We start from the raw sequence: 23,716 nt of genomic DNA on the forward strand, positions 1-23,716 counted from the left end.
TGTAAGCTATTTAGTAAGCAAAGCTTTTTTAATCTAATTCAGGAAAAGGGTAGATTAAAATGTATTCTGATCTACTAAGAATGTATTTTTCCTTGCAGAATTAGAGGTAGAATCTGGCCCTTTTCCTTCTAAGTGAAACTGACTAGAAACAGATTCACAAGGCATAGGTAAATCACAAGACAGCTTTAATATTGGTCCTATTTTCCCGAGACCAAATAAGTTGAAGAAAATAAGAATGGAGAGACTCTTATCCAATAAAAGATTATTATTTTTCACAGTATAGGCAAGTGTAAAACACAGTCTACAGAAAAATAAGGGTGGTATTATTCGTCCAATTTAAGGGTCCATTCAGAAACCGTATCAATCTTTATCCTTTTCACAAAGAAAAGACTGCACATCATCAGGAAACTTCAATAGGGTCAACAAACAGCACAAACCATAAAGTGGAGAGTATTAGTTGTCTACCAAAAGATACTCTCCTTTTATTCCTGCATGCAGGAATAAATGGAATATTCCAGCCTCCTTTTCATAGTGGACTTCTTTTCCCCATGGAATTTAATGTGATAGGTGTCCCTTATGGACCTAAGTCTTAGGACCGTGTGTATGCTTCCATGTTATCTTTCCCCTTATCACCAGCTGGAATGGCAGCTGACCCTGTCTCTGCCATGCAGAAGATGACAGTCCTAGAGGATAATACTGCAATCAATGGAAAGAACCTTAATTCCTGAATAACTTCATGGAGCAGAATTGAACCATTCAATTTGGATTGTTATGTAAAGGACAAAACCAGTTCTATCTTCTTTAACTTACTGAATCATTGTTCCCTTTGTTACACCCTAATTCAGACTAATACTTCCTGTTAACTGAAACTGTCAAAGAAATACCATCATCAGTACTTCCTTTCATTATCCTTGATCAATATAGGCCTGGCTCCAACTAGGAGTGGCCAAACATTCATATCTCCAAGTATAAGCAATCTTTGACAATGCACAGCTAACAGGTATTCCTACCAATGTAGCCCAAACATGGTAGAACAGCAGTTGTACATAATTAGGTTTCATAATTCCACTTTATATAAAAATTTGGAAATCTCTTATTGCTTAGGGGCAGTCTGGTGACCAACTTTTTAAAAAATATTTATTAGAAAGTAACATGTAGCATTTTAAAAAATCATCTAGATCTTTTTCAACAGGAAAATATACATAACCAGTCTAGATTTTTTTATTTTATTTTAGGGTTCACATGACATATAGGTGAATTGCTTCCAAACTAATTGATATTTCAGGAAATGCCTAGCTTTTCTTTAATAGAGTAAAATGTCTTTTATTACCCAATTCAAGTTAGCTTGAGATAATATTCTGAGAAGTAAAAATAATTTGAATTTATATCCAGTTATAAATGATTGGTTTCAGAAGTTTATCTGAAAACAGTTTTTAGTAGAGGATAGAGTGAGAGAAAAAGTAAAAATGAGACAGGTATTTCTTCAGATGAAATGGTATAATTTATCTACTATTCAATTTTGTTAGGATTGGTTGGCTCCACTGCAAATGAAATAGTAGTAAAAAGAAAAGAAATCAGCAGATAGTTGAAATAGCCAAAGAAGGAAGCAACACAGCATTGTTAACAGGAGATTTGTGATTAAATTTACAGGCTAGAATTAGCTAAACATTGAGTATACATGGACACAAAGAAGAGAACAGCAGACACCAGTGCCTACTTGAGGGTGAGGTGAGAGGAGGAAGAAGGTCAGAAAACTACCTATCGGGTCCTATGCTTATTACCAGGGTGATGAAATAATCTGTACACCAAACCCCCATGACACACAATTTATCTGTATAACAACTCCATATATGTACCCCTAAACCTAAAATGAGAGCTTTTTAAAAAATCAGCTTTATATGGAGGCAGTTAACCACCTTTTATGTTTTTTCTAGGACTTACGCAAGGAGCTCAGTTTCTTCCTCTGAAATTTATCCCACTTGATCTTTGATAGCCGAAATTATTTTGTTAAACTGACAATAATCCAGGATATTTAACATCTCTAAGCCAGTTTTCCCGTCTGTAAAATAACAAAAAATAACACCTACATTATAAATTCATTTTAGGGTTAAGAAAATTATATATGTGGACTGTCAACAAAATTCTTAGCATATATTGATAATTTTTTTTGTTTTTCTTTTCATTCTTTTAACATTACATAAAACGTAAATATTTTCAGATACTTCCTTTGCCTAAGCCAAATACCAGAATCCAATAAAATATTAATAAATACATTACACAATTACTATGAATGCATCAGCTTTGTTTTGCCAAATTTTCATTATTATAATAAAGGCTTAACATTTGAAGTATGCTTACAAATTTATGCCACAATCTTGAAAAGGTTTTACAGATGCAGAAAGTGAAATGCAGATTCATTAAGAAACTTGTCCAAGGTCACACAGCTGGTAAATTGAAGAGCTGGAGTTTTTACACAGGAAATCTAACTCCAGAGCTCATGGAGGTCAATTTTATTTTCATAATAGTCTATCTGGACATAAAATTGCACAGCCCTAATTCTATATTTGCTATCCCACAGTTCTTACAAAGATCCACTTGGCCGGGCGCGGTAGCTCACACCTGTAATCCCAGTACTTTGGGAGGCCAAGGCAGGAGGATCACGAGGTCAGAAGATCGAGACCATCCTGGCTAACACGGTGAAACCCCATCTCTACTAAAAATGCAAAATGTTAGCTGGGCGTGGTGGCGGGCGCCTGTAGTCCCAGCTACTCACAAGGCTGAGGCAGGAGAATGGCGTGAACCCGGAAGACGGAGCTGGCAGTGAGTGGAGATCGCGCCACTGCACTCCAGCGTGGGCGACAGAGTGAGAATCCGTCTCGGGGAAAAAAAAAAAAAAGAAAAAAAAAGAAAAAAAAGATCCACTCTACAGCTGGGTGTGGTGGTGCCCATCTGTAGTCCCAGTATTTGGGAGTGCGACTGTAGTGCGCCATGGTCATGCCTGTGAATAGCCACTGCACTCTACTAGGCAACAGAACCAGTACTCACCTATTAAGTAAATAAATAAAGGTCTGCTCTGAACCTACGTCTTTATAATCCCCTTATTACACACAGCCTTCTATTCACAATTATTTTCATTTCATCTAATATTGGCATTATTATGTTTATCAAATATTGCCACAATTAATCTGAGTCAACTTTCTTAGGGTAAGTATAATAAAGGAGATGTTTTTGAAACTATTAAACTTCAGAACTGAAGGGAGTTAAAAACAAATCTGCAATTTTACTTTTTGCTTCTAAATTGGGCATTACCCTTAACCAATTAGAACAGATTAAACAGCAAGGATTTAAATCTCAGTTACTCTGCCAAGCCCATCATCTTACAAAATTAACTATTTAAATGATGCATTTTATGAACATCAGCTCCACAAAATTATAAGAGAATAAAGTATTTTCTTATATTTTCTTAATGAACAGGGACATTTCATTAAGACGAAATATTGCCTTAATGAACAGGGACATAGTACATTAGGCAAAAGTAGAGAGAGACTAGGCTTTAATTATAAGCTGTCCCGTATTTTATTTTAGCTTTTTTAGGATTATCATTCTATTATTTTCTGGATTTCATTACTAATTTTGAGAAGAAAGGTAACACTCTTATTTTGCCTTTAATTGCTCCTTTGAAGGTAATATATATTGTTTGATTATCTGTTGGCTGTTTTTAAGGTTGCTTTTTTTCATCTTTGGTTTTTGGAAGTTTTATTGTGATGTGACTACATGTGGTTTTCTCTGCCTTTATCCTATTTGGCGTTCTTAGCATTTCCTGTCTTCATATTTTTACTCAATTTTGGAAATTTATTCTGTAGTATCTCTATTATTTTTGCCTCATCTTCTCTCTGATCTTTCTGCTTTGGATCAGATCTTTATCACTAACATAAATTCTTTCAACAGGCTTCTAACTGTCCTCCTGGCCTCTAGTCTTTAAATATACCTTCTTTACAAGATCATACTATTTTCACAATTAGAACATTCAGTGCCTCTAAGATAAAAGTCCAGTGTCCTTAGTAGAGTGTATCTACAAGACCCTCCATGATATGACACCTAGAAATTATCTCAGCAGGCTAGACACAGTGGCTCACGCCTGTAATCCCAACAGTTTGGGAGACCAAGGAGGGTAGATCACTTGAGGACATGAGTTCAAGACCAGCCTGGACAACATGGTGAAACCCCATCTCTACTAAAAATCCAAAAATCCAAAAATTAAAAATTAGCTGGTCATGGTAGCGTGTGCCTGTACTCCTAGCTACCCTGGGGGGCTAAGCAGGAGAATCGCTTGAACCCAGGAGGCAGAGGTTGCAATGAGCTGAGATAGCACCACTGTACTCCAGCCTGAGTGACAGAGCGAGATTTGAGACTCCATCAAAAAAAAAAAAAAAAAAAAAAGCAAATTGTGGCCCTACTGTTTCTAGTTTGTTACTTTAACCCTAAAACAACCTGTTGCTGCTTATAGTTCTGACTCAAATTCATACTAGGTCTTAGCGATACATCTTATCTCTCCTGAGACAGCACTAAAATAAGAACATAAATGCACAAAAATAGAATTAATACGTAACTAAGAAGAATGTAGGAAAGAAGTTTTCAAAAAATGAGGAATAATAACAGATTTCTAACAACTGGAAAATGCAGAACAAACTACTAAACGGAATTAACAGTAAAGATCTAGAAAATAAAATAGAGAACTCTGTTACAGTGTAAAGCAGAAATGCAGAGTCAGAAAGCATGAGGGAACAGATAAAAGACCTATAGAAGTGGTATGGACGCCCCATATCTGAGTAATAGAAACCCAAAAACAACGTGAATACAGAAAATGGAGTAGAAGAAATCAACAGAGAACTGATAGAATCAAATTCTTCCAAGTTGAAAGACATGAGAATTTAAAGTGAAAAATGCCAAGTGGAATGTAAAGACCCCTACCCAGAGATAATCATAAAAGCTTCCAATATTAAAAACAGGTTATCTAAAAATAAATGAGTTATCCAGGTGTGGCTTACACCTGTAGTTCCAGCTACTTGGGAGGCTGAGATGGGAGGATTGCTTGGGTCCAGGAGTTCAAGGCTGCAGTGGGCCATGATCACACCACTGCATTCCAGCCTAGGGGACAGAGTGAGACCCAGGTTCTATTAAAAAAAAGAGAGAGAGAGAAAGGATTAGTTTAAACTTATCACCAACACTGAATGCTAAGAAAATAGACCAAAACCTTACAGTTTTTGAGAAAATATTTTTGACTTAAAAATGATATACACAGTTCAATCACACGCATACAGATACACACACATACACACACACATACACACCAGAATAAAAGCATTTGGTAATATGGTATGTATTTACCACATACCTTTTAAAGAAAATAAATAAAGAAATTAAAGAAAATAAAGAAAAATAAGAAACGAAACAAGAAAAAAAAGAAGAAAATAAAGAGAAGAAAGAAGAGGAGAGACAGGAAAAAAGTGTGGGTCACACCCAGGAAAGCAATGCAGGATATTCCTGTATGGCAGGAAGGATTGATGGTGTCAGGAGGAAGGCATGTGAGAAAAGACCTCCCCATTTGAGAATCACTGGGAGAATGTGTGAAAAACGCAATAAAGACATGTTACCTCTTTAAAACAATAATGTGCTAATATAGTGAAGCCAAAAAAGACAGAGACAGAAAGAAAGAAAAGTTGATGGCTAACCTAAAGAAAATAAAGGAAGAAAGTTGTGTAAAAGGCTACGATACAAATGGAAAAAAATTAAATCTCTGGCATGGTTTTAAGCAATTGATAGTGAGAAAAGAGAATGTATTCTGTCATAGCACAATGCATGACTCAGCATAGTCATAAAAATGTAAATTTCCAGACTTAATTCATGGAGAAAGGGTGAGAGATTTGGTTGCTGTTTAATTTCAAAGTACAAATTATAATAGTCTTAATAAAATAAAACTAGGTTAGCTAATAAATGGTGGGAACTAAGGGAGGTAAAAGGTGGATGAAAGAGTGGGGATGATAATATCTCATAATGTGTTAGGGTATTACTATTATCACAAAAGTAACCTGTGGAAGTAATGAAATGATAAATAACTCTAAACCACCCATAATAAGTATAATATAATTAGTATCATGAAGGAATCACAAAAAGAAATGCAAACGAAGTATTTAAAACTCTAGCCTGGGCAACATGGCAAAACCCTATCTCAACAATTTTTTTTTAATCAGCCAGGTATGGTGGGCTGCACCTGTGGTGCCAGCTAATCAGGAGGCTGAGGTAGGAGGATCAGTTGAGCCATGAGGTCGAGGCTGCAGTGAGCTGTGATCGCACCACTGCACTCCAAGCTGGATGATAGAGTGAGACCCTGTCTCAAAAAAAAAAAAAAAAAAGAAAGAAAATTTTAAAAAGGTATTTAAAAGAGTTCACAGCCGGGAATCCAAACAGCTGTTGAAGAGAAACAGTTCTGTTATTTTTATCGTAAGCTCTTCTAAATTATTTATTATTATGTTTTCATGTACAATATCGATAAATTTTTAAGATAATTTTTGAAGACAGAGATTTAATGACATTTCTTCCATGAAACAATCTGAAGACTTAAGTGGCTTTCTTCTGTACTTCCATAGAACCCACCCAGTACATACCTCCAGTGTGGCACTGATTTTATGCTATACATATGACTGTGTGTTCATCTCCTCCACCAGACTGTGAGTCCCATTGGAGTAGGAACTAAATTTTATTCAACACTCTGTCTTCATCACCTCGTGTAGTATCTTGTACAGAGTAGATAATGATTAAATGTTTAGTTAATGAGTAAATAATCAACCATATTGCACAGTCTATATTAAAGTTAATATTTAAATCCGTTATGGGAATTAATAGATATTCATCAGATACACTACTGAATTCCTTCTTTACATCATTGCATGTTTTAACTTTCTAATAACAGTATAATGGGATAGAGATAATGTAAAGCTACATGTTTCCAAGCCACCAGCATTTTATCAGACACCCCAAACTTGAACCATTAATGTAATATTCAAAATTCTTCACAACTAGATTTTGAACACTATTCTGAAGTTGGTTACAAGTCCATCTGGTTTTAAATCAACTTATCATGTTCAAAAATGTTAATATCTCTCACTAGCTCACAGCATGACACTATCAGCTTTAATTTGGTATTATTTCATAGCAATGTTGCAATTAAAATTTGGTCCACATTGATCAGTAAAAGTTAAAGGGCTAAATTAATTAATGGAAATAGTAAAAGGGCAAAATATTAATATGATGACACAACCTAAATCCTTAGAGTGTAGAGAGGCACTGTTATTTTGAGATTATCCATGTTGATTTGCAGAAGAACAGAAGGAGAAATCTGTGAATAGAACTGAATTTCAACACACAAAATTGTATGTCAACATTTTTTTAAATAATTACTAAAAATGATGACCACAAGTGAGTCTCATTATAGATGTGAAACTTCTGACTAACAGACCTAACAATGACTAAAGACATTACAAATAAGCTGTGAAGAAAATGTACAGCAGCTGTATTAGAACTATGCCTTCCAGGTTGGTGTGTGGATTTATCTCAAAACCTAATAAAAAACCATGACTCATTTTCTGTTAAAGTGCATAAAAAGCTTTATACACCATATCATATCAAGTAGATAATTTTTTAACTTTAAAATATTTTTCTGATAAATGATAAATTTTATTTGAATACATAAGAAACAATATAATATTCAAATAATTCAACATATTTGAATAATATATGGCAACTTAAGATCAATCAAAGCAGTTGGTGACAGGGAATATTCTTATCTTTGGAGGGTTTGCCTGACTTTCAGAGTTCCAACATAAACCCAATCCAGAAATAAAATTAGAGAGTCTTACATTTGCTATTTATAAACCTCCATTACTTACAGTTCACTTGCTCTTGAGAATAAATTTCAGGGTTACACGTAGCAGGTGTTTTGAACTCCATTTTAGATAGACAGAACATGAGAGAGGGTAGAATAAGAAACCAATGTCAAAGTTATTAAGTATTAGAATGAAGTATAGGATTTGGGTCTTTTGAAGTTCTATAGTCTTTCTACTAACTGCTAACTTCCAGCTCTTTTCAGCTACTAAAATACACATATCCTATCAGGTCTCAATTAGGAGTTATTTTGTAAAATACTTAAATGTGTTATGAGCCATGATTATAGCCTACCTGCATTATAAGCATCAAAAGCCCCTTTTATTGTCAAACTGCAGTCCATCAACCATTAGTAGTTGGTAAATAGCTTAGTGAGTCTCAACCAGTAAATTTTTAAATAGAATATAATAGAATAGAAACTATCAGAGTGTATCACAAGTAATAAGGGTATTTTGGAAAATTTTTTGTTTCAGCTGTGTATGTGTGTATGTAGATACATGTATTTGTGGCCTAGGTCATGATGTGTGTTTCTTACTGTGGGTTGAGGGAAGAGCATACTGAAAACTACCACTCTAAGACAGATAACAAGATTAAGAACTTAGGTCAAGTTGGAATTCGTTTACCAAAGTGGTTAATGGGTTACTCAATAGAACTGAGAACTTCACAGGAAGTTTTCAATGAAGGAAGCCTGGGAAAAGAGAAAATTACAGTGCATGGCTGCTGACTAAAATCCTGAGAAGAAGATTGCAGTGGGGAATGTGGAACAACCATAGGGCAGCATGAGTTGCTGAGGACTAGAACTAAGGAAGCTGAAAGCAGTCACACAGAGAAACAGTGATTTGAGTTAGCAATAATTTCACCTCTGTATATTATAGAACTGTGTCAGCCGGGCGCAGTGGCTCACGCCTGTAATCCCAGCACTTTGGGAGGCTGAGGTGGGTGGATCACAGTACAAGAGATCAAGACCATCCTGGCCAACATGGTGAAACCCCATCTCTACTAAAAATACAAAAATTAGCTGGGTGTGGTGGCATGCGCCTGTAGTCCCAGCTACTCAGGAGGCTGAGGCAGGAGAATCACTTGAACCCAGGAGGTGGAGATTGCAGTGAGCTGAGATCATGCCACTGCACTCCAGCCTGGCGACGGAGCAAGACTCCATCTCAAAAATAAAATAAAATAAAATAAAATAAAATAAAATTAAATTAAATTAAATTAAATTAAAAACTGTGTCCAGGGATCCTCTCTTTATGCATATCTAGATATAAAATAAAGATGTTACATCTATATAAAAAGCAAAGATATTAGTTCCTGCCCTTGCTTTCTTCATAAGTGTACCAAGGGATAGGAGCTATGAAAGTGCTTTGAGTTTGTCAAAATAAGTCATTGTGATGGGAGTTACCTGCAGCTCATGAGGAGCTAAAGCTCAGGATCACTTGACCTCTCTATACAGCACAGCCTTAGAGTCATCAGAAAGCCAGTTTTAAAGAAAAGCTTGTATTACTTTATTCTAATAATTTACCATAGTGCTTGGTAGGTCTTCAATTTATGCTTTTCACTTTTCTCTCCCCCTTCTCTCCTTTTTCCCCCCTTTTTACCTTAAATTCCATGACCAATCATTGCAGTGACTCCTTTTTGCATCCCCAATTCCCTTACCTGTCTTGTTCAGAGTCATTTGTCTGAATCACAACCCTGGTTACATATTACTTTCTGTCTTGCTAGTTCTGAAGGCCCTGAAACTAACATGACTTAGGAAAACACACAGCATGTAAACTGGTTTCATTTACATTCATGAGCATGCATTTCATGTATGTCCATAACACTGTCTGGCAATCATATTAAATTTGCCTGGTCTTTTACTCTCCCACTCTTCTTGATGGCGTTTTCATGCCTAATCTTTCCTACTCATATTTCAAGCACTTCCATTATCATGCTCAGTTTTAGCTCGCTTCCTAGTCCATTGAGAAAACTGAAGTAATCAGAAGAGAATACCCACAACCTACAGAATCCATGTACTTTGCTGTCCCCCTGGAATGAAAGATGATTATCAGTACTCCCACCTAAGTCCAACCATCTCACTTGGTCACTTGATCCCATCTCACTTCCTCCAGCAATTCTACCCCTTCTCTCCTATGCCATCAGATTTTACTTTTACCTCTCTACTGTATCATTTCCATCAGCAATTAAACATACTTTTCTCCCATTAAAAAAACCCTCTCTTGGCTCCACCTCCTCTCTAGCTAATGTTTCTTCTCTTGCTTCCCTTTCCACAAACCTGCTCAATAAACTGTCTATACACTATCTCAAATTTTTCTTCCCATTCATTTTTAATCATCACCCAAGAGGCTGTTACCTCCACCATTCTAACAAATCTGTTCTCCTCATGATTACCAATGACCTTCGTATTGCTAAATCCAGTCAATCTTCTCTTCTCATTTTACTTGGCCTATCAGCAACATTTGATGCAATTGATCACCAACACTCCTTTCTTTAGCTAATCAAAAGGGTGATTATTCAGATTATGATGGATGGATCTGTCCTATAGGAGCTGAGAGTGACCTTAGTTGAGAGGCAGCAAGAAAACAGAGGCCACAGTCCTACAACCACAAGGATCTAAATTCCATCAACAACCTGAATTCCAGATGAGAACCAGAGCACAGTCAATACCTTCATTTCAGTTTTGTAAGTCTTTGAGCAAAGGACCCAGGTAGTTTGTGTCTAGACTCTTGATCTGACCCACAGAAACTGGAAAAAAAAATAAATTTATGTTGTTTTAAGCCTTAAATGTGTAGTAATTTGTTAGGCACCAACAGAAAACTAATACACTCAGTGATCTCCCCTGGCTAACATATTTGAAATTGCAAGCACTTTTTTTGCACTTCTTATCTCCTTTATTCTTCTCTATTATATTTTTCATGATACTAACGTATTTTGTTATGGTTTCTCCGTCAATTGCAGAAAAGCAAAGGTTTTCATCCATTTGTTCGCTATCTTGTTCAACTACAGTTTCTGGCATGTAGTAAAAGTTCAACAAATATCTCTTGAATGAATAAAACTAGTATTAAGTACATGAATAAGACATAATAGTATTTTTCCTCAGAATACTCAAGTTAATCATTTATATAATTTAAAAAACTAGGTATACAAAATTCTTAGCTATATTTGATATTTAGTTAATAAAACTTTACTTAGTATTTAACTCATTTTAGATATGTAAAATACTAATATTAAAGTAATAAAAATCATTTTGCATTTGTAAATTTGAATACTGTAAACAATAATAAAAATGTTCAATCTTAATTTTGGGCTTACCATTTGCCTGGTACACTTCAAACTATATTCCTTATAAATTTAATGCATTTTATCCTCAGAAAACATTATGAGAGAATTAGCATTATTAACCCCATCTTATATCAAATAAAAATAAGGTACAGAGGTTTAATAATTTACTCAAGTTCACATAGACACAAAGTGATAGATTCAAACCCAGGTTTTAAGTTTCAAGCTCATTACATTTTCAATATCTGAATATGCATAAAACTTACATTTGTGTATAACTAAATATTGTAAATAGGCTAAAAAGACCAATAAAAACTATAAAAGATATTTGAGCCAGATGACAAACGGTTAATATTTTTATCTAGAAAAGCCCTTAAAATTAATAAAAATAGCACAAAAATTCAAATAAGCAATGCACAAAAGACAACAGAAAGATCATAAAAGATGAAATTTAAAATGTAATAAATATTTGTAGAAACTTCTTTCAATCTTGCTGGTACATAAAGAAAAGTACATTAAAGCTAGTTATAGGTATTATATTTCTCCTTTTAAACTGGCAAAAGAAAATTTAAAATTTGGTGAGGGTTCATTAAGACAGATACTTTTTTTTTTTTTTTTTTGAGACAGAGTCTCACTCTGTTGCCCAGGCTGGAGTGCAGTGGTGCAATCTTGGCTCACCGCAACCTCCACCTCCCGGGTTCAAGTGATTCTCCTGCCTAAGCCTACCGAGTAGCTGGGACTACAGGCGCGTTCCGCCACTCCAGGCTAATTTTTTCTATTTTTAGTAGAGACGGGTTTTCACTGTGTTAGCCAGGATGGTCTCGATCTCCTGACCTCGTGATCCACCCGCCTCGGCCTCCCAAAGTGCTGGGATTACAGGTGTGAGCCACCGTGCCCGGCCAAAACAGTCACTTTTATAGATCACTGCAAATGTACACTAATACAATCTTTGTTGCTGTTGTTGTTGTTGTTGTTGTTGTTGTTGTTGTTGTTGCCAGAGTCTCGCTCTGTTGCCCAGGCTGGAGTGCAGTGGCACTATATCAGGTCACTGCACCCTCTGTCTCCTGGGTTCAAGGGATCCTCCTGCCTCAGCCTCCTGAGTAGCTGGGATTACAGGCATGCAACCCTACACCTGGCTAATTTTTGTATTTTTAGTAGGGTTGGGGTTTTGCTGCATTGGCCAGGCTGGTCTTGAACTCCTGACCCCAGATGACACACCTGCCTCGGCCTCCCAAAGTGCTGGGATTACAGGCGTGAGCCACCAAGCCCAGCCACAGTAATGAAATTTTAAAGAAATACAATTCACCAGTATATGGTAAATGTTTATTACAAATTCATACTATGTGATCCCTCCCCACCAAAAAAAAAAAAAAACCTTGCCCTTAAAAAATCTATTATAAATGATCAAAGTTGGAGAAAAAGCTTATGTGCAAAGTTATATATCTCAAGTCATTTTAATAATGAAAAATTAGAAACCACCTAAATGTGAAGCAATGGTTAATGGACAGTGGTTAAATTGTTTATCATTATCCATAGGTTAATATAGATATTTGTAACTATAGGTTTTAAAAATAGTTATGTGGAAATGCTCACAGTATAACAATAATGAACAAAAGGCTGAACACAAAATATACCCACAAGATGATCCAAATTATTTAGAATATAGGTTTTACTTTAATAGATGATTTATGTTTATTTTCTTCTTTATAATATACTAGAAATTTTTTACAGCAAGTCTGTGATATATAAAATCAGAAGTAAACAAAAATTAAAGATATTTCAAGAAATGTGTTAATAAATATAAACATTTCTAATTCATATAAGGATAGGTACGTCATATTTTTAACCCTGTGCTGACCTACATGGTTCACTGAGATGGTGTCATGTCTGCCTAGCAGAAGACGTCTGCATCATAAAAACAAAACTGGAAAGTTCCACACAGAAAAATTTTTCACGGCAAGGATGAAGCTTCTCACCCAGCAACTCAAACTCAGTTTTATATTATAGGGTTTTTTTTTCAGAATTTGGACTATTTTATTTATTTAAATACAAACATATTACTTAGAAGCTGTGTATCTGTAATTGCCACTACCACTTGGTTATTATTTGATTAATATTTTGGTTTCTTCCAAATCAGCTGCATTTTACCTAGGACAAATACCCATTTCAAATAGACCTGGTAGTGAAAAGAAAATCAGGTGATTAAACCTCCCTAGTTATGACTGGTAGTTCCACCACATAAGAAAGGGAAAACTTATTCTATTTGGTCAGTGGTATCTATCAGAGTTTATCTGAGAAGAAAGCAAAAGACATAGTAAGAGAACAGAATAAAAACAAAGAGAAAAGTAAAGATAATAACCAGAGACCATCGTCAATAGCAGCAATAGCAAGGACTTTAGTGGCAGCTATTACAGGGGGTGACAAAGTGATATTCCAACCACAAGGCAATTCAACAGGAGAGATTGGTATAGAAACAAAAGACAAAACGTCTCTTCAGCTGAAAGGTTCAAACACTCATCTGCATCAAACACTTTCATATATCTACTCTATATTCACAAGAAATTTATGAATTCATTAATAAATAACGCATCCAATATTTATATAGCATGCATGGTCCCTGTATAAACTCTAGTTATGCCTCTTTAACTTTACTACAAATGTTCTTAAAAACATGGAATCGCGGCCGGGCGCTGTGGCTCACGCCTGCAATCCCAGCACTTTGGGAGGCCGAGGGGGTGGATCACGAGGTCAGGAAATCGAGACCATCCTGGCTAACACGGTGAAATCCCGTCTCTACTAAAAATACAAAAAATCAGCCGGGCGTGGTGGCGGGCGCCTGTAGTCCCAGCTACTCGGGAGGCTGAAGCGGGAGAATGGCGTGAACCCGGGAGGCGGAGCTTGCAGTGAGCCGAGATCGCGCTACTGCACTCCAGCCTGGGCGACAGAGTGAGACTCCGTCTCAAACAAAACAAAACAAAACAAAACAAAAACATGCAATCGCTACAGTACTTGGGGTAGGAAATAGATATGGAAATGTTACATTCCCTTAAAATGTATTTTACCTATTTACTTGTTTAATGTCTATTTTCCTTAACTGGGAAGTTAGCTTAATAAAGGCAGAAGAGGTTTTTGCCTCCATTATCCAATGCTATATTCTTAGCACCAATAATAATGTCTAGCGTACAGTATGTGTACGCTATGTATTTATTGAACAAATGAGAAAGTTTACAAGTAATTCATGGATTTCATATGATTCTCTATATCTTGTTTACATCAAAGACAAAATGTTTCGTATTTCTTAAGACTAACTGCAACATGTTCAAAAATTTGGTCTATCAGCTGAAGTGTATCTCAATTTGATAATTAAAGAGAAAGTTTACATTTTCATGTAAGCCCTTCCAAATACTCCAGCACACATAAGTGAAAATCAGATATTCTCCTTCATGGCCCATCTGCAAACTTGTAGAAAGTGAGAACCTGAGGCATAAGTGGACGTGAATGGGCCTGGGTTCTATTTTTCCATGCTATAAAAGCCATAAACAGTGTGGTTAATGATGCTCCCATATCTGACTTGAAGCCAGGGTACGGTGGATTCGTGTAAATGCTGAAGGCTAGCTAGCTCTGGTGGCTGAACACCAGTTGAGGGCAGCAGAGAGCTACTTGAGAGAAAATAGATCCAGGAAGGCTTAACAGCTCTCAGCTTAAAGTGCTTGGCTAAGTCCACAGTGTGCTGCTGAAAATGCAGCCGCTTGGAAAACTAGTCCACAGGGTGGCCAGCAAGAATGAAGTAACCAAATGTATTAATGCATAAAGCCAAAAATCCAGGGAGATGGGTAGGAAGCAACACCAGAGAACTGACAATAATTTGGACTCCCATTTCACACAGTTCTCAGGAGCCATTGATTCGGACAATCATCTTACTCCAGAGCTGCTGAATCACAAAATGTCTTAGATTCCCTCCAACTCTAAAATCTTAGTTCCCAAGATAATTAACAAAAATGTTTAGAGTACAACCTTTTTTCCAAAGATTATCCTTCCTGTAGAAAGAATATAAAATTGTTAGTGTTAAGAGGAGAAAATCATACATGAATGAGGAGTAGCAAACACAGACTAGGGGTCCCAAAATTCTTTAAAAGTTGAGATTTCTCAAATATATGCGGTGGAATCCTGGTGAAGTTTAATGAACAGCCTCAGTCAATCCCCTTGTTTCCCAGTTTGAAGGCTCCAACCCTAAAAATGACCAAGTGTAAGTTGCGGCCTGTCCAAAGCCAGGATTCACACTCCTTTTCTGTGTCTTCCTAGTGGAGTGATCTTAAGCAAGTAATTTAGTCTGTCTGGGTCAGCCTCCTCACTTCTAAAATAGAATAATACCTGTGTTTATGAGGTCTGTGAAAAATCTGCAGAATAAAACATGTCTTATGAACTTCGTACAGCATAAGGAATTTTAAATAAAAGTCCAAGTAGTAGGAACTAAGAAGTTTTCTAGGGAACAACAAAAAGGCATCTAAGAAAGAAACCTTTGATATATTTAGAATTTTCCCTGTAACAAACTTGTTTGTTTCTATCAACCCAGGTCAATGTAGATATGATACTCCATATACATATATTTATACACATATGTGTGTATATGTATATACACACACACACTTTATATACAACACACACACGCATGCATGTGTGTGTGTGTGCATGGGTATGTGTGTGTGTCTTCAGCTTCCCTGAGGTCTATATTAAATGCTGAGCATATTTGCATCACGGAGTGATATTTGCCTTCTGTGAACACTCTTATTGCTAAAAGTGTGTAATGATGTTCCTAGTCAGATTGAATTTGGAGACATTTTACTGCATCCTCCTGAAGAAATTTATTCACAGGGACACAGAAGCAGAGAGAAAAATGTGGGCTATCTGCAGCCAGAATACTTTGGCTCTGGTTCCTAATAATAATAATAATAATAATAATAATTAATCATCACCATGAGGATATGGGAACATGTTAGAAAACTTGAATACAGCTGCCTCAGCTTTGTGTTCAGTTTGGTCCTATCTCACATTATGATTTTTCTGGATGGATAGCAAGGGAGAGCTGAGTGCATGCCAATGAGTTAGTAAATGGTGACTAGAGTGTCTGAGATTTTTGTTATTTTTAAAAGCAGAAAAAGGGAAAGAACAAGACAGGAAGATAGAGAAGATGGAGGGCTGGCTCATCAATTCTCATTTCTGATGAGATGCCTAACTAGAGAACTCAGGAGTGATAGAGAAGAGTTGCAAATAACAATGAAGACACCACAAGAGAGTCTTCTCAAATGAAGGTTGATGATTTATTGACTTAAAAATCTTTTGAATTATAAGGGATAGCAGATTCAACTTTCTGATTTTGTGCATAAGAAAACTAAGGTTCAAGAGAAGTGTTGTGACTACCTCAAATTCCCCTAGGTGTTAACAACTTGTATATTTATCTTACTATTCTAGAACTAGCTAGATAGCATGCCAGTGACCAAATTTTATAGTAAAATCTAGGAAATATTGGTGAAAAATAGAATAAACAAAATTGGTTTCCCTTAAAGTTACAAAACATGAATCCATATACCAGTAGTCATCAGCTGCTTTGCTATTAGGAAATTAAACACACACTTCAGCAAGTGCATGCACAAACTACACCCACGCACATGGCCAGCTTACAGTCACAGGGAATGAGAAGAGGTCTACTCTCTCTCTCTCTCTAACATCTTAAATGCCAAGCAAATGCCGAAATTGTTATTCTGAAAAGTTTGGGGCTCTGCAGTCTACCATTGCTAAGATTTTTCCTGTGCCCAGATAGTTCATTTAATCTTTGCTGTAAGAAGAAGAAACAGAATCCATATAGACATAGGAATTCCATTTCTTTGAATTATAAAATATTTTCAGCCAAGGTAATATAGACAGGGCATATATGTGATTACTTAAAACATGGTGTTATTTTTAGTATGTTCCCTGCTATTCACTAGATAATTATCTCCAATCAAAGTGGTTAGTTCAGATAAAAGAAAATATCAAAAATAAATTTTTTTCAATTTTGTTAAGTATTTGTGTAGAAACATATTTAGTGATAATTTGGAAAATTAGGTAAATAAATTGCAACCCCCCTCAAAATAAAATTACTTTTTAGAACTAGTTCCTTGACATGGAATTTAAAGCATTGGAAGAATACTCATAACAAACTTTAATTGCCCTATGTGCAGATTTGAGGTAAAAACCGTTGTCTCTCTATGTCTTATTACCATAATCAAAGCTTAGAATTTTTTTTATTATCAAAAGACTATTGTGTGCCCGACAGACAGTCAAGATTTATTAGAAAAGCCTCCATGGCTCTCCCCTCCAAAAACTCAGTAAACAATCCCACACCTTCACTGCTACTATTGAGCATTATGGGCACTAGATGTCGCTGCTGCTGTTAGAATGAGATTTTCTTCCTGCTTCCCAGCCCCACCTCCCCAAAAATTTTTTCCAAAGATTCTTATGGTTTTTAAAGTTATATTTTAGTGGTAGTGTTGTTGGGAATTTGATGAATGAATGATATTTTATATATTAGTGATTGCAGGTCACTTATTTTCCAGATTAAGAAAAAACTGGAAAGATGAAGTAACTTGCCTAAGGATCCATAGGAAAAGAGTGCTAGAGCCAGAGTCGGGAAAACAGTTCTCGTGTCTACACTTCACCAGCTTTTAAGAAGTAAACGTGTTCCAGCTGTGAACAATGACGATATTCATCTTTTTAAGTCAAAACCCACTGGGTAATATTTATTACCCTTTAAGTCAGTTTCAGTTTGCATTGCCCCTGATGGTCTTCTCCTTGGACACTAGGTATGTATTAATCATGAGGGCAGATGATTTTCCCAGGCTAAATTTACTTGAAAGGGTAAGAAGCCTAATAGACGGTCATTATCTAAATTAAGGTGATTCCGTGCTCCAGAAAATCTCCCCATAGAAGAAAAATGTCAACAAGCTCAGGAGACTCTCCCTCATAAAGTTATTAAAACTAAACAAGCATACACAACACCCACACACAATCCAATACAGAGGAGATCTCCAACCCAGCTTCCCTGTCAATACAAAAGAAAGCCAGTGGAGTTTTCTTCAGAAGCCTGGGGCTAGGAAGGGTGCAGAAGGACTGTGAGGGCAATCCCCAACTGCTTTCACCGACTAAGGTGAGGAGAAAGGAAAGTCATGACTGGGGGAAAAAAAAAAGAAGAAGAAGAAGGCAAGTTAACTAAGAGAGGCAACCAATCTACGCTGAAGCTTCCATAGTCCTGCTCTCTAGAGAAAACCAAAAATTCACCACCCCGCTTGACGGATTGGCAGGCAAGAGAAAGAGGGGAAACTTCACACACTCGCTTAGAGTTGTTGGACCCCTTTTCCAGTCCCCATCTCAAGAAAAGAAGAAGGGGGCAGGGAGGAATGGACGTGCCCTGAAAAGAAAAGAAAAAGGAGCCAACATTGCAGCTAGCCTTGGGAAAATCTCCACAGATGAGCATTTTTGTTGCGTTAAGTGGCCGGCATTAGCAGCCTAAACACGTAGGGGAAGGCTAACATCGCCGTTAATATAATGCGGGAGAGGAATGATAGACCTGGGAGTAGAGAGTGGAAGCGCTAGTTTTGCATAAAACAAAACAAAACATTTCTGAGGACTTAAGCTCCTAGGGGGTTGGGTGGAGTGAATTTAGGGAGCGCCTCAATCCATAGAGGAAGCATGCACCGGGGCATCAGTTTCAGAGGCTTATTTTAAAAATATATATTTATTTCAGCTGCCTTAAAAAATAATTTCACAGTCAGAAAAATAGCTTCTTAGACCATGGTTCTGAGGTCGTCTCTGGGAGGGAGAAGAATCACCTCCGAGATGTCTTTCAAACTCCAGCATTGAGACTAAGAATTGACAAGTAAGGAGGTTCTGGAAGTCAGAATGAAAATGGTCACCTCCATCACCTTCACGAGGCTTCATTTCTCTCACATTTAGGGAGGTAGATGAGATACAGTTAGACGCACATAGAGATAGTGAGAGAGAGAGGGAAAGGGAGAAGGAGAGAGAGGAAAGAGAAAAGGGAAGAAAAAGCAGGGAAAGAAGGAAGGAAGGAAGGAAGGAGGGAAGGAGGGAAAGAGGGAAGGAGGGAAAGAGGGAAGGAGGGAAGGAGGGGACAGGAAGGAAAATTAGAAGAAATGAAACCCAACTGAAGTCTTATGATTAATAACTTTTTTTTTTCAAAACTAAATCAACTCTATCTTCCTCGCCTTTCTAGGAAATCCTCAACTTGAACAATATTCTAAGTGCCCTAAAGCAATTAAAACAAAACTTTGGAGGAGTGGGGCGGGGAGACATTCCTGGAGGGCCAGAGCGGGGATCGCAGCAGAATCTGCAGCACTGGTGTTAAGGAGAATTTGAGCGCTCGAATGCTGTTGTTAAATTTCTTCCCAGAGCCCCATGCTCCCTCGTTTAGCATCTCCCTTCCCCAATAATTACTTGAGAGGATGAGCTCGAGATTGAAGAGTGAGGTTGGCTTTTCTGTGTGAGGAGCCGATAGGATCCACCAACACTAAAATCAAAAAGACTCCTGGTGCTTGCGAGTACAACCCCAAATTCTCTCGCACACTGCCCAAGTTTCTTGAAACTCGGAGGCTCAGCTCAGTGTAAAAACATGGGGGTTCTCCTGAGTCGGTTTCCCTGACCACAGGGGGACCCCTGCAAACACGGCCTCCTCTTTAATACCTTTGTAACTCAGTTCTTCAAGCAACCCACCTAGGAGAATAAAAGGACCCACTGAGCTCCAATAACTGAGTAGATGATTAAATAAAGCCGAGATCTCAGATCTTCGCGTTTGGGGTGGGGAGTGGGGGCGCTGGGGAAAAGTCGGGAATAGCCCCGCGGTACCTGGGGATCCCAGTTGTTTTTTCTAAGAAAGCCCGGGGTTAAAAAATGCATTGGAATGTGGCGATGCCTCCATCAGCCGTCACTTTATAAGTTCCCAAGTCACGCTGCTCTAGACCATTGTGGATGAAAGTGGATTGTCTCTCCAGAACCAAATATTCCCTGACCTGCTTCCCCAACGCGCCCTCACGCTTTCCTGGGAGAGCACAGCGCTGCCGGAGACGCGGCGCTTCTGTCAATTGTGCAGAGCAATTACTAAGAAAATATTGTGACGATGTTGTAGGGCGAAAGGGGACGTGAGGAGGAAAGGGAGGGGGAGTTAGTTTGGAGAGCAATTTGCAAAGGAATATTAACTTTGATTCCCGAGGTCACCGCGGGAAAAGGGGTTCTGGGCTGCAGAGCTCTTCCTCTAGGTGGCGGACTTTGGCACCAAACAACCGCTAGATGAGCGCTGACTTCAAACACAGGATTAAGCTTCTTGCTGGTTAAAAATAATAACAGTAATAATATAGAGGTGTGGGGCTGTTTTTTCCCCCTTTTGGATATTTATTTATTGCAGGGAAAAGTCATTGATTTTCCTAAGCAAACTGTGTTTCTCCTTCACTTGGTGGAAAATAAAAACTGTTTGAATAAATAAGTTATTTCTGAACATTTTGTTGTCAAAGTGTTAAATGTTCCCGTCATTTTTATTCAAACACTAACATGATTACAGCCAATTATATATTCACCAGTGTTCTTTATTTTAGAGTAATTGTACTTGTCACTAATAAAACAGAGGCATAATGGATCGCTACTGTTCTAGATTTTCAAGCAATTTTGTGTAATTTGATTGAATTATACATCTTATCTGCTACTTTTTTATTTTTATATTTGGGGATCCTATTTTCTTGAAAATTGCAGCTCTATGCTTGTTTTGTTGTTTCTCCAGTAACGTACACTTCGGTAACACTGATAAATAGAAAGAGTCCCTTTGAAATGTCAAAAATCAGCTGTTTTTTTCCACACCTCCTCCCTGCTCTTCAGCATGGGGAAGACCTGAACTCTGCGCAGCAAGGGAGCCTGAGCGAGTGGGTGCACTTCCCAGAAAAGTTCAACGTCAAGATAAATTCCCCATTGGCCCCAAAGGCAGTCACCTTCCTGCCTGCATGCAGTCTTTGGGGGCTCTGTCTTTTTCCTGTAATGATACTGTTGGGTGTCTGGGGCTTCAAACATGCTAAGACAAGTAGACCATGGGTTCATTTCATGTGCAATATGTATCAAGGGAAAGAATATATACGGCGGAGCTAAAAGATAAACTGTATTTATTACTCCAATTACACAAACCCCAAAGGTCCTACCTACCAACCCACCCCCCACCCCGACAATTAAAACAATTATCTATTTGCCTATGTTCTTTTGGTTCCAAATATACGGAAAGAACTGGGATCAATACTTTCTCCCCTCCCCCACTTTTAAACCATTTCAATAATTGTTTTAAAAAGATAGGGGGAAAAGATGCACACACCTTCCCATTGTTCACATATCAGAACAATCAAGAAATAAATGTGACAGCAAGCAGACAGACGATATGATATGATCTTAAGGGACCATCTCCAAAACTGAAGGAGCAGAGAATGTGTAATTCTTTTCCCAGTAAATCCTTCCAGTTCCTAGGACAAGACTCAAACGTCCCGCTAGGAGCTGCAGCTGCGAGGTGGAGCCAAAGGCTCTGACAAGTGGCTTGTGTATGACCCAATATTTATCAATAACAACAACAAAATCAAGTGAAACCAAGGCTGCGGATTTTGAAATGCTTCTGCAGCCCTGGCGTGGATATGCACGTGAGCGAAGTAAAAGTCGCTGGAGATGAGTTGGCTCCACTTGTCCGCCCTGGGGAGCAATCCTGGGGCAAAATCCAGTGCTAATTGATCCCAACCAGCCACATTATCAGCTGTAAATGTTCAAGGGGACAAAGAATGAGCATTGTGTACTAAAGATACTCCAAGCATTTTTTCAAGTAAATAGGGACGTGTAATCAGTAGCGTGTGTATGCATATAAATAGGAAAAGAGAATTATTTTTAATTAATTAGGAAAATAATGTTTCATGTGTAATTCCAGAATTCTCTAGCGTCTCCCACTGTCCGACTGTTTTGTGATTGGGACTTCCTCTAGGAAAACCTGCGGGCCCTGTTTTGTGTTTCGAGCGGGAGAGCAGACACTCAGCTCAAATAGAGGCCTTTCTCTCGTCTTTCGGGGTGTTTATTCTATGGCCAAAAGGTAAGATGGCCAAGGCAGCGATCTGAGCGTGATGTCTGGCCCCGCGGGGGGCCCAGGAGGCCCAAGTTGGGACAGCTCCGGAGCTACCCCGGTGCCCCTCAGCTGGGGGAGGGCGCGCGGCAGCCGCCTGCCAGCCCCACAGGCTGCTCTCCAAAGGAGCTGGGCTTTTTCAGCGTTTCTGTTTCCTTGTAGCCTCATCTATCTTATCTAACAAGTTCACGCTCCGGGAGAAAAGAAGAGGGTGAGAAAAAAAAAAAAGAAAGAAAAAAGAAAACCTCTTCACCGCGGTGATTCATAGTTCATAGGCTCCGGAGCCAAACTTGCCGACCCAGCTTTTTTCTCGAACATTACTTTCTCTCCTACGTGCCTTAGGACAAACCCAGAAGGAAGACACTAAAATTGCCGAACAAGAATCTAGGATTGTTTTAAAAATAAAAGTGACCCCCCACAGACACCTTTGATGTTGTTGATTCTGACACAGAGGAGTCGAGTTGTTTTGTTTACACATGCTAACGGTAACTTGCTCCTGATGCCGCTCTACGCGCAGCTTAGTCTGTCTTCTCCTCTCCTCCCCGCAGGCGACTCCTTCCAAAGAGCGAGAGAGAAATACGGGTATTACTGTTATCCCCCACTGGGTTCAATACCCCTTACATGTAATTGAATATTCGAATTAACGTCACCTGCATGCACCCCAGTCTTTTAACTCTGAAATGTGCTTTATAGCAATACAGACTTGAAACCTTTAACTGTTTTCTATATCCCCGCGTTTACCGTGGCAGATGACCTCTTAGCCCAAAATTGATTTGGTGTGTATCCGGTCTTATGTGCCAAAAAAAGAGATACCTAGGCTGAAAAGGCAACTTTAAGGGGGGACATCTAGAGAGATGACGCCTAGAATCAAGGCCTCTGGCTCGATTGCGTTCGGCAAGCGTCTGCAACAAAGGAGCGTCGGGCAAGCTCGCGGGTATGCGCAGGGAGCAGCGGCGCGCAGACCTGGGAGCCCCAGCTCCGCGAAGCTCCTCGAAGGGAACCCTCGCAGTTACAGCCTCAAGAGGCAAGGCAGGGGAGGGAGAAAAGCTGGACCTCTTGAGAAACGCTCCTCCAACAGATTTTCCATGGCCTCGTGTTGGAGAAGGGGCGCGGGGGAGGAGCGAGGGTTGGGGTAGGAAGACCTACTGGAACCGACTCCGGAGAGTGAGGGCCAGGTGGGTGTAAGATGAGCACAAAGTAAAAACTTGCCCATTGGTTTGTCCACGCAGGTTTCTTGAAAGAAGCAGATAGATCTGATTAGTAGATACTACTTTCCCCACGCAAAGGGAGACTTTGGGGTGAAGGGTTCTCTGCGTG

At 38.3% G+C, this 23,716-nt stretch overlaps 1 long non-coding RNA gene across 1 annotated transcript in view, besides 1 other annotated feature; it reads right to left on the reverse strand.

The window, feature by feature from the left end:
* Positions 1-23,716, reverse strand: part of FOXG1-AS1 (FOXG1 antisense RNA 1) — a 40,078-nt gene that overhangs the window by 11,544 nt on the left and 4,818 nt on the right. Inside the window, exons 3-4 of the long non-coding RNA NR_125758.1 lie at positions 5,049-5,174; positions 1,942-2,059 (exon numbers count right to left, since the gene is read on the reverse strand). This is a non-coding gene — a long non-coding RNA (FOXG1 antisense RNA 1). The remainder of the gene's footprint in view (positions 1-1,941; positions 2,060-5,048; positions 5,175-23,716) is intronic.
* Positions 20,084-21,682: an enhancer, noted in NCBI's record as "VISTA enhancer hs1064". NCBI's record gives its function as "enhancer in: hindbrain (rhombencephalon)[3/5] | forebrain[3/5]" and the evidence as "EXISTENCE:transgenic organism evidence [ECO:0001131][PMID:17130149]".

Source organism: Homo sapiens, chromosome 14 (genome assembly GCF_000001405.40).
Source record: "Homo sapiens chromosome 14, GRCh38.p14 Primary Assembly".
NCBI classification, from domain to species: domain Eukaryota; kingdom Metazoa; phylum Chordata; class Mammalia; order Primates; family Hominidae; genus Homo; species Homo sapiens.